This window comes from Homo sapiens, chromosome 7, assembly GCF_000001405.40.
Source record: "Homo sapiens chromosome 7, GRCh38.p14 Primary Assembly".
Classification (NCBI taxonomy): domain Eukaryota; kingdom Metazoa; phylum Chordata; class Mammalia; order Primates; family Hominidae; genus Homo; species Homo sapiens.
This window is the reverse complement of record NC_000007.14, coordinates 23,201,177-23,213,035: the sequence shown is the minus strand read 5'-3', so window position 1 is coordinate 23,213,035 and position 11,859 is coordinate 23,201,177. Positions and strand designations below refer to the sequence as shown.

Sequence of the window (11,859 nt, the reverse complement as noted above, 5' to 3'; positions counted from 1 at the left end):
CAATGTGACATGTTCGTGGTGTGATGGAAAGTTCTTTAAAGCACAATTCAGCAGTCATGTGCTTGAGGGTGGCAAATAAAGAACTTGTATGTGTGTATGTGTGTGCAAGAAAGAAAGTTCATCCTGACATTAATTGTGTTAGTAAATTGCTAGAAAAACCCAAGTGTCCATCATTAAGGGAGAAGTTAAATTCATTATAAGACAGTTAGGCACTGGGATACTATTCAGCTGTTAAAACGAGCAAGGTAGATCTCTGTATCACGGTTGGATCAGGATATCAGAAGAGCCTCTGTGTATTCCATTTAGGAGACTTTTACTGTAGGGAGTTATTGGAAAGGCTGAAAGAGTGGAGGTCAGGGAAGCTGCTGCTGGTGACCTCAGCCTGAAGGACCAATGTGAGAGGTTCACACAGGTTATAGAAGTGAACTGGGGCCTGCTCCTCCAGTGCAGTAAAACCAGATACTCACACTGAGGTTTTTGCAGTGATAGAAAAGAAGGCATTTACTGCAGGGTGCCAAGCAAGGGAAATCGTCAGCTTATGCTTAAGTCTCTAACTCCTTGATGGCTTGCAGGTAAGGTTTTTAAGGGCAGGGGTAAATGTCAGGAAAACAGAAGCTACAGGCAAATCATAAATCAATACATGGAGGCTCCACATTGATTTTGGCCGAAAAGGGTGAGATATATTGAAGCTAGGGGCTTACATGTCATAGGTAGATTTAAACATCTTCTGGTTTGCAATTGGCTAAGGAAGAGAAACTTTGTTTAAAAATGTAAAGCCAGTAGAGTTAACTGGTTAGGGGGAGTGACTTTCTCCAAGCCCTTCAGGAAAAAACTTAGAACAAAGGACAATAAAGTTTAGTCTTCATTTCCCCCTTATCTGGGGTCTACCTGCCATGCCCCTGATCAGTTTGGGGGGTCCTCAGTTAGGGGGTCCAAGCCTCTGAAAGACAACTCAGGGACATACGTGAAGATACTATCTTTAATTTCTATAGGGAAAGCAAACATCTCTGGGACTCCAACTTCTTTAGCTGTTGTTTTAGGCTACTATCACCTTCTTGTTTAACAAGTTATTTATTTACTTCTCAGGGCTAGCTAGGCGCCTGGAATTTCCCCTGAAGGAACTTAAGATTTATTTCCATGCTTACGGTCCACAGGCCTCTAAAAAAAGGGAGGGTCCGTGCTCCACCTCACACAAGGTTGTGGCGGGCCGCTGGAACCTCATGTCTCCCACATGCCTAGAGGGAGCAGCCTCCAGAGGAGAATGGCATCTCTCCTTCCTTCTTGCAGATATTGAGCAGGAACCTTTTGCAGGCCAACTTGAATCCGGAACCATGGGATGATAGGGACTCTGGGAAATGTAGTTCCGGCGTCTCACCTGGGAGCCCGCAGAGTGGGTACTGGTGATGGACAGTTAACTGCAGACTGCCCGTGCAGTCTGAGCGTGCTGCGAGGAAAAGGGATGAATGCCCACCAGACTTCACAGCGATGACCTCTTGGGAGGGGGATTTCAAATGGGAAGGGAGAAGAGGCTATGAAGAGAGAGAGCTATCCTCTCTCTTTTTCTTTTCTTTTCTTTCTTTCTTTCTTTCTTTCTTTTTCCCTCCCTCCCTCCCTCTCTCTCTCTCTCTCTCTCTATTTATTTTGAGACGAAGTCTCGCTCTGTCGCCCAGGCTGGAGTGCAGTGGCGCGATCTTGGCTCACTGCAAGCTCTGCCTCTCGGGTTCACGCCATTCTCCTGCCTCAGCCTCCCAAGTAGCTGGGACCAATGAATGCTGGGGACAATAGAGGAAGTCCCAGAGAGGATGCTTTCTGGCCCAGCTTGGGTCATGTGTCCTTCCATGACTGGGTGAAGAGGGAGACCAGGGAATGCAGGAGAAGAGGGTGTTGATTGTGAGTGCCACCCAGCATGTGTGGAGGGCTGGCCTTGGAGTGCAGGTGACAGTGACCAGTGTCCTCTGTGATGCCTTCTGTTTTCTCTGTGAAGCAGGAGGTGGGCTATTCCTCAGAGAGAGGACAGATGAGAAGACAGTGGTGAAGGTATGGACTTGCTGCTGTGGGAACAGGTGCTGAGCCCACTGGAGGTGCCACGTGGACTGCAGCCCAGGGTCACTGAGGTGGCAGGCAGCAACCTCACAGGGCACTTTCCTCTGCAGCCCTCCACCCCACAGGTGGGCTGGGCAGAGGAGACAGCCTCCCAGGAGCACAGGTTGGCCAGCCAAGTGCTTGGAGGAAGAGGAGACAGAGGAGTTGAAGTTAACACATTTTCAAAAGAATGATTATAGCCATGGGCCGTGCAATCTTGGCTAAAGAAATATGCAAGGCCAGGAGGTGGCGAAATCATGTGGGGATGGTTCTCTCTTCCCCTATTTGAGTTTTCCTCTCCCTGTTGCAGCTTATACCCATTTTGGTCTCAGGTTTGGCTTTTTAGAAGCTGCTTGGCTAGTTAGAAAGCTGGAGTTGTATTAGAGTCACCTCTGTCCACTTCTCTGGGGACCAGTGAGCTGTGTAAGGTGTTACTTTCTAGAAGTAAAAATTTTTTTTCCTTTTGTTTTGTCGAGATTCATCTCTGGGGTGAATGACAGGCTCATACATTCGGTACCATTAGATATTGTAAAAACTAGTCTGCAGAGCCGATCAATGCCTGATGCATCTTCAGAGCAGCTGAAAGTCCTTTCCCTCCAAATCTTTGTTGTTGTTGTTGTTGTTTGTTTGTTAGATGGAGTCTCGCTCTGTTACCCAGGCTGGAGTGCAGTGGTGCAATCTCGGCTCACTGCAACCTCTGCCTCCTGGGTTCAAGCAATTCTCCTGCCTCAGCCTCCCAAGTAGCTGAGATTGCAGGAGCCCACCACCATGCCTGCCTAATTTTTGTATTTTTAGTGGAGATGGGGTTTCGCCATGTTGGCCAGGCTGGTCTCGAACTCCTGACCTCATTTGATCCACCTGCCTTGGCCTCCCAAAGTGCTGGGATTACAGGTATGGGCCATGTGCCTGGACATTTTCTCTGGTTTTGATGGGGGAAAAAAAAGCCCAGAAGACCCAAAGCAATGTCCATGCAATGCTGGTCCAGGGGGCTCCCTGCAAGGGACTTATGAAAACATTGCTGATCAAACCCCCCATCCCCATGGCTCTTATTGCTGTATGTATTCAATTACAGCAAACTCATTACTTGCTCCCCTTTGAAATGTGAGAGGCTTTTTCTGTTTTCAGAATGTACACTGTGGAGAGGATGGGGGCAGGGAGCAATTTAACAAATATATTACAATTAAAATTGTTCATACTTTCCAACTCAACATTTTCACTTACGAAACATTCCTGCATTGTGCAAAGATATATTTTCTAGAAAGTTCTATTGAAGCATTATTGGCTCAGAACTAGGGGCATGGTTAAATCAATTAAACAATGGAAATATAATGGAATACTACACGGCCTTTAAAAACAGGCGTGTTAGCTAGGCACGGTGGCTCATGCCTGTAATTCCAGCACTTTGGGAAGCCGAGGTGGGTGGATCACGAGGTCAAGAGATCAAGACCATCCTGGCCAACATGGTGAAACCCCGTCTCTACTAAGAATACAAAAATTAGCTGGTCATGATGGCTTGTGCCTGTAGTCCCAGCTACTCGGGAGGCTGAGGCAGAAGAGCTTGAACTTGGAGGCGGAGGTTGCAGTGAGCTGAGATCGTGCCACTGCACTCCAGCCTGGTGACAGTGTGAGTCTCAAACAAACAAACAGGCACATTAATCTATTTGTGCTGACAGAGAAAGTTCTTTGAGAAGATGCAAATAGTATAACATTGATAATTATGAGACTGTATAAACATTGGAGAAATGTGTGCAAAACATTAAAGACTGTTATTGGGAAGGTAGAATATCATTTTAATTTTGTATTATTATTATTTTTAAAAAGACGGGAGTCTCACTCTGCCACCCAGGCTGGAGTGCAGTGGTATGATCTTGGCTTACTGCAACTGCTGGCTTCTTGGTTCGGGCGATCCTCCCACCTTAACCTCTCAAATAGCTGGGACTACAGGCACACACCACCATTCTCGGCTGATTTTTTGTATTTCTTGTAGAGATGGAGTTTCACCATGTCGCCGAGGCTGGTCTTGAACTCCTAAACTAAGGCGATCCTCCCACCTCGGTGTCCCAAAGGGCTGGGCTTACAGGCATGAGCCACCACACCTGACCCATTTTATGTATTTCTATGTGACTGGAATCCTCTATAGTGAATAAGCATTATTTTTCTCAATGATAGAATTGAGCATAATTTCTCTGCTAAGCATTTAGAGTTCATTTTTTCATTTACTATTCACAAAATCACCAGATGGTGGGTATTACATATTCTACAGGTGATACTTAGAAAAGTTAACCTAATTTCAGCAAGGTAGTAAATATTCTTTAAAGAATATTTTCAAACGCTATCTAAGGTTAATGTAATCTCCACAGGCTCATTTTGTCTCTATGAGAAGGTGACTTCTATTTTGGCTATTTCTCCTTCCCGTTATGATTTCACTTCCCTCTCAAAACTACTCAAATCCATTTCCTCTGGGAAGTTATCACAGGCTGTAGCCCCTAGTGACTGCATTCACTCTACTCTCTAGCATTTTAATGCACTCCTTTCTTGGTCTTTGCACCTGTCACCATTTGGATTTGTATGCAATGTTTCTATTCTTTTCCTCTCCCTCTTTTGCTTGAGCGTTGATCATTTGCCTGGAACTTCCCGTGATCCTTCAGAGCCTGATTCCAAACCTACAGGGTAGGTGTTAGGACTGAATCCTTAAGTGTAGCATTTGATGGGTCCTTAATATTGAGGAATAACAATCTAACCAATCAAGCAACCTTTTCCTTATACCGGACTATATGCTGAATCCACCGAATTATGTAAATGTCTCTGAGTTGAGAAACTTCTGAAATAATAGATAATTCAAGTAATGTCTTCTTTTTTTTTTTGTGGAGGAGAGGTATGAGTCATAAAGAGTCACAAATTTTTTTTTACAAAATATGCTAATTGTACTAAATACTTTGTCATACACTGGCAACCTCTTTAACATCTAGACACTAGATGTTGCAAAATTAGGACTCATTTGTCCGTTTTATACACTATATACAGAGCAAAACAACATGCACAAAACATGCAAAAAATGGTGTCTGAAAATGTCCAAGTATGAACACACTGGCATATTATCTTTTGCAATGTCTTCCCTCCCATCTCCTCTAAACCACTGAACAAGTATAGACAGTACTATACTGCTCACAAAGGTGGCTTCACAATTCAATTTCCAAAAGACAGCATTCCCCATGAATTTTAGCAAAAAGATATTTACGAAGTGGTATTTTACTACCTCTACATTTAACATACATTGGGCACTTCTAAACATCTAGATAGACTAGATGTTTCAAGTAAGGAGTTCATTTGTCCACTACGAACACAGCAGTCTTGAATAAACTGCAAACATGTGACAACAGTTATAATTTGAAAGAGTCTTCCAAATAGGAACATTCTGGCCTAGAACCCTTCCCATCTCCATCAACCCAGCGGGCAAGAATGCTCAAATTTTCAGAAGACAATCTTTCCTAGGACTTCTAAAACAAAATGTACAAAATATATTAGTTTACTAACTCTACTTTTATCATGTACTGGCAACCTCTTTAATATCTAGAAAGACTAGATGTTGTAAATCAGGACTTGTCTGTCCTTTATGTACACTATATACACAGACAAGTAAAACAAAATGCGCAGAGATAATGATTAATCTTGCCTCGCTGTAAGCACAGTGGCATAGAGATCTCTGCACTTCCCCCTCCTCCCCTGAACCAGTGCACAAACACAATGAGTATTACTCAACAGGTGATTGGGCCATTCCCCCACCAAACATTTCATATGAATTGTAACAAAAAGATATTTACAAAAGGTTATTTTTTTCTACATATATCAGGCACTTCAGAATATCTAAAAAGAATAGACATTTCAAAAAAGCTTAGCATTGTCAACCATATACACAGTAGTGAGGAATGAAATGCACACAAAACAATGGAGAGAATATGAAAATGTCTTCTAAATATGACCAGTCTGGCACAGAAGCTTCTTCTCTTCCTTCTCAGGTCTTCCAGCTCCATGTCCTCTAAACCACTTAACAAACGTGGACGTCTCGCTTCCAGAGGCCGTGTTAACAACTCCATTTCCAAAAGTCGTCTCCAGAAGACATTTATTTTCTATGATTTCTTTTAAGCAAATGAGAATTTACAAGATGTGTGATTTTCTAACTTTATCATACATCAGCAACCTCTTTCCATCTAGCTCATAGAAGGGCTAGATGTGGCAAATGTTTTCTATTAAAAGGTTTGGGTAGTGTTGAGAGCAGCTGTTTCATATTAAATACACAGGCCTTCCATAAACGGCCAGTAAATCTTCCCAAAGGGTGGTGGGCATTTCCAAGAGGCCAGACGTGGCTTGTCATTCCACCATTTCTCTCTTCCGACAGCAAGCTCTGGTAGAACGAGACCAACCGCCCGAAGGCCGCTAACTGTTCCACCCGTCATCGTTCGGGACTTCGCTCACCTCCCAAGCCCGTTAAGGCCTTTGTCCGTTGTCCTGAGGACTCGGCAGGTCTCGTCCAGTGGGAACAGAGCGGTCACCCGGGCCCGGACTCGCGCGGCTCCGTGGCCTAAAGAGGCGGCCGAGCTTGCCTGCGTCGCGAGACCGCCTTCCCGGGCCCTGCACACCCTAACGGTCTCCGCCGCGCGGTGTTGGGGCGGCCGCCATGCTTCCCGGCCCGCCTCTCCCGCCGCCACCCGGAGACACTGCGTCTCGGCGGCTCGGCGGGGTTTCGTCGAGGCCGGGCAGGATCCGGCGGCGGGGTCTGGGCAGGGAGAGCCGCCGCCAACAGTCACCGAGGTGGGGTGGGGAAGAGAGGTTCGCCGCGGCTTCGAGGCCTGCGCCCGGCCAGTGGGCAGCCACAGCGGGGCCCCCCGTGTCTGCAGGGCAGAGGGCGCAGCCAGTCCGGGGCCCCCTAGCTCATCTCCCCATCTCACCCGCCGGCCTGGAGGGCCGTGGGGGAGCGCGCCGCGCTCTGCGTCTCTTCGAGCTCTTTCTGCCGGGCCGGAATGCAGGAGTCACAAATTGATTCAAATAGGTTTACAAATTTAAAAAAGAAGCTTGACAACCACTTAACCTGTTAAAGGATACTACAGGAGTGGCAGAGAATTCCTCAATTCTTCTGCTTCTGTGCTGCCAGGGCTAAAAGCTGCTTGCATTGTAAATAACCAGGAAAAAGGAACAGATTTCCAGGTGGTTGATGATGTGTGGTTGAGAAAAGAGCCTCAAGGTAACTACTTAATATGTTGATTCTAGATTATTTTCCTCGTCCAGTGTAATTAGAGAAACAAACACACAACTAGTGAATCAAAGATTTTTATTTTGTTCCACAAATGTGTACCTTTTATATTTCGTTAGTCTGATAGCAAAAATTACATTTTCCACCTCTACAGTCAGTTCTCTAGTTTTACTCCTGTGCTTCAGTGTTTGAATGACAAGCCTCATCAGCATGACATATTTAATCCAACAGGCTTGGACACCATTTGGCAAACCAGTGGATTCACAGTGATCACTGCAGAAATCTGAAAGTGACTTGATAATACACAATTTAGGGTGGGGAAAAAGGCATTTTCCCCCTAAATCAAATATTTAAAAGTTTGCAGACTTATTTCAAGCATGTGGGAAAGTATAGAAAACAACAGCGTATTACTATGTACTACTCATCACCCAGTGTCAATTAAAAAAAAATTTTTTTTTGAGACAGCGACTCACTCTGTCATGCAGGCTGGAGTGCAGTGGTGTGATCATGGCTCACTGCAGCCTTGACCTCCTGGGCCAAAATGATCCTCCTGCCTCAGCCTCCCAAGTAGCTGGGACTACAGGTTTGTGCCATCATGCCCAGCTCTGTCAAATTTTATGCTTCTCATATTAAGCTTTTTTTTTTTTTTAAGTCACATATAAAGCTCCCTGTCTGTGCCTTTCAGATCCCATTTCTTTTTTTCTTTCCCTAGGTAAACACTGTTCTGAATTTGGTGCTTGTATTAGTCCATTCTCACACTGCTAATAAAGACTGGGTGATTTATAAAGAAAAGAGGTTTAATTGACTCACAGTTTTGCATGGCTGGGGAGGCCTCAGAAAACTTAACAATCATGGCAGAAGGAGACGCAAACACATCCTTCTTCACATGGCGGCAGCAGAGAGAATAAGAGCCCAGGAAAGGGGGAAGCCCCTAAACCATCAGATCTCATGAGAACTCACTATCGTGGGAACAGAATGAGGGAAACCAGCTCCATGATTCAATTGTCTCCACGTGGTCCTGCCCTTGACACATGGGGATTATTACAATTCAAGATGAGATTTTGGGTGGGGACACAGCCAACTCATATCAGTGCTTATTATCCACATGCTATTATTCCTGTGTTTATGAATCCATACATAATACTACAGTATTGTTTTGCTCTTTTGTACTTTAAATGGTATATCATACATACTATTCTGTACCTTCCCCCTTTTTGGTGGTTGTTTATACAAGTAACTTGAGTCATTATACAGTTATATTCCATTATGCCAAAGTTTATCCATTATCCCGTGGATGGACTTCTGGTGCTTTCTGTTTTGCTATATAAACAATACTGTGTACATTTTTGTACATCTCCTTTACACATGAAATAGTTTCTGACATGTTCATGTGCATACAAATCATTTGGTGGGTCTTGTTAAAATACAGACTGATTCAGTAAGTTTGGGGTGGGACTGCAAATTGTACTCATATGAGGAAAAATGGGGGAAACATATAAAGGTAATGCTATTGTAGAAAATACAAAAAAAAAAGACAAAGTGTCCTCATAATCTAGTATGTGGTATAGCAGAGTGGTTTAAAGCATGGCCCCTTTAAATTCAGTGTTTGAATTACAACTCAACTACTTGGAAGTTGAGTGACTTTGGATAGGTCATTTAATGTCTCCAAATCTTGCTCTTCTCATTTTGAAAATGAGAATTGTTATAATAGCACCTAGGTTATATGGTTGTGATGAGGCAATTTGCTAATATACTAGATACAGAATGCTTAGGACATTGTCTGGCACATAGCAAAAACTCACTAAAATTTGAGCTATTATTGTTAAGTTTTAGCCTCCCCCCCATTAATATATTCTTTCTCTCCAAATTGGATCACACTGTACATGCTCTTTTTATAGCAAACTCTCGTCCACTGATTGCAGAATGAAAACATTTCCAAGTTATTCTCTATTAAGTCATTTAGAAAGGCTGTTTAGTATTCCAATGTATGTATCTACCACAATTAAATCATTGTTTGATGCTTCAAGTTGAATTATTTTACTCATGAATAATACTGCATAGCTAAATCATTTTATACCTTTTAGTTTTAATATCAGCTCACTTTCTCTCCCCTTTTAATCAGCTCTCAGCTGTTACCATTCTCCCCTTCTAATCTGTGATCAGATAATCAATCGAGTTAAATCAGTTTATTTGCTATACCTTATCTACAATTCTGTCACTTGCTCTAGACCTTAGGTGAAAAGGACAGCTATTACAGCAGCTGTGAAGGCAGGCTATTTTTGCCTATTTTAGGGTATGCCTCTTAGTTAGTCCAGCTCTGCTAGTCTCACTGGATATGAGATTAGGAGATACCATCCAGAAGATGCTGGCACATCCTTTTGTTGTGGGTGCCTTTTCCCTTCTACTACCTCCCTCTTGGGGTCTGAACACTCAACCTACCTTTATACCCAGCTGCTGCCACCTCATTGTTACCTGTTTCTGATTTTCTGAAGCCGCGATGCCCCTTAGCCTAGGTCTGGGAGTTACCAGTTTTCTTGACTTCTGACACCAGTATGTATGCATGGTGCTAGTTTCTACTTTGTGGGCCTCTCTGCTTTAGTTTCTCAAAATTTTTTAGTAGCCTGTAGCACTTATTTGTGCTTTTTAAAAAACTTCGGATCCTGTTAAATTCCCACATTTTTGTCTATATGGGAGCACAGAAAACAGACTTCAACAATTAAAACTCCCAAATCAGGTATTACTAAGTAGCCTAAATCCAGCTGGATAGTCCTGTTTCCCAAACTTGCCTGAAGGACCACAAGGAATACCTGTTGACATATTCCCAAGCCCATCCCAATGGGCAGCTCCTGTAATTTGGATATGTTATCTGGATATATTATTTAACACCCCAGGTGATTCCTATAATCAGGCACAGTTGGAAACAATGGGCTTTTAACTAGGATTTTCTGAGATCTTCCAGGACACTGGGAAGTTCAACTGAGACCTCAGGGAGCTTGTATGCAATTTAGAGGTAGTGTAGGGGTCATCCCGGGGGGGGGGGGGGCGGGGCAGGAAAATTCTAGGATTCAAGTATTAGTTCGAATACTGGAAAGTCTGTAGAGCTTGAGACCAAAGAAGGAATTTATGCTCTTTTTGTTTTAATCTTGCTCCTTCTAAAGGAACTTATGCTCTATTTACCATCTCTACACCAGCATGGTTTCAAATATATATCCCCTGGTTATAGTATAGATTCTGTACCAAACACTGGGGTTCCAGAACTGTCAGATGAGTCATGCAGCTCCTCAAAAAGTGTAATGGAGCCAGGCATGGTGGCTCATGCCTGTAATCCCAGAAATCTGGGAGGCTGAGGCAAGCGGATCATGAGGTCAGGAGATCAAGACCATCCTGGCTAACATGGTGAAACCCCGTCTCTACTAAAAATACAAAAAAATTAGCCGGGCGTGGTGGTGGGCGCCTGTGGTCCCAGCTACTCAGGAGGCTGAGGCAGGAGAATGGCGTGAACCCAGGAGGCGGAGCTTGCAGTGAGCCGAGATCGCGCCACTGCACTCCAGCCTGGGCGACAGAGTGAGACTCCGTCTCAACAACAATAACAACAACAACAACAAGAACAACAACAAAAGTGTAATGGAGAATGCAGGTCTTTTGAGGACTGAATCCTTTGCATACGTTAAAATCATTTGGAGGGCATATCTTTTATTATGTAAGGTTTTATATTCACTTAGAAAAATCAGCTGAATGCCAGAACCGTGTTAGTAACTGCTCTGGCAGTGCTAGCTATGCAATTTTTGAGGACTGAGAAAGCGCAGAAGTCTGATATACCTGCTTCAACTCGTGACAGGCATTTAGTTTCTTGGATCATCCATATGTAAAATATAAATCTTACTCCCTCAATCTGAGGACACAGGGAGATCCAAACATGCACAATAATTCTTTTTTTGTTGGGGGAGGGCAGGAAAGGGGATGGAGTATCGCTCTGTCACCCAGGCTGGAGGGCAGTGGTGTGATCTCAGCTCACTGCAACCTCTGCCTCCCGGGTTCAAGTGATTCTCCTGCCTCAGCCACCTGAGTAGCTGGGATTACAGGTGCCCGCCACCACACCCAGCTTATTTTTTGTATTTTTAGTAGAGATAGGGTTTCACCATGTTGGCCAGGCTGGTCTCGAACTCTCCTGACCTCAAGTGATCTGCCCGCTTCAGCCTCCCAAAGTGCTGGGATTACAGGTGTGAGCTACTGTACCTGGCCATGCCTGAGAAGATCTAGAAACAGAAACTGGTGAATCCTGACCCCACTACACACATTATTTATTCACATGAGATCACAATTTGTTTCTCTTACAACTCATCCATTTGACAGACTAATGTGATGAATAAATAGAATTCTATAAAAGTGAGGCCAAAATAAAAAGCAGCCTAAGATTGTTGAAGAAAACTCAAATGGTGGTCCACGAGACCGCCAAAGTTGAGAGGGAACCAAACTTATCGGGGGGGAAATGCCCCTATGGTTCTAAAACTAAAAGCTTGTCACTCTTT

The 11,859-nt window shown here is 43.9% G+C and overlaps 2 annotated features.

Annotated features, from left to right (window-relative positions):
* Positions 6,543-6,602: an enhancer, noted in NCBI's record as "active region_25721". NCBI's record gives its function as "activates an Ori minimal core promoter by ATAC-STARR-seq in GM12878 lymphoblastoid cells {active_cell/tissue: GM12878}" and the evidence as "EXISTENCE:reporter gene assay evidence [ECO:0000049][PMID:35858748]".
* Positions 6,793-7,072: a silencer, noted in NCBI's record as "silent region_18006". NCBI's record gives its function as "represses an Ori minimal core promoter by ATAC-STARR-seq in GM12878 lymphoblastoid cells {active_cell/tissue: GM12878}" and the evidence as "EXISTENCE:reporter gene assay evidence [ECO:0000049][PMID:35858748]".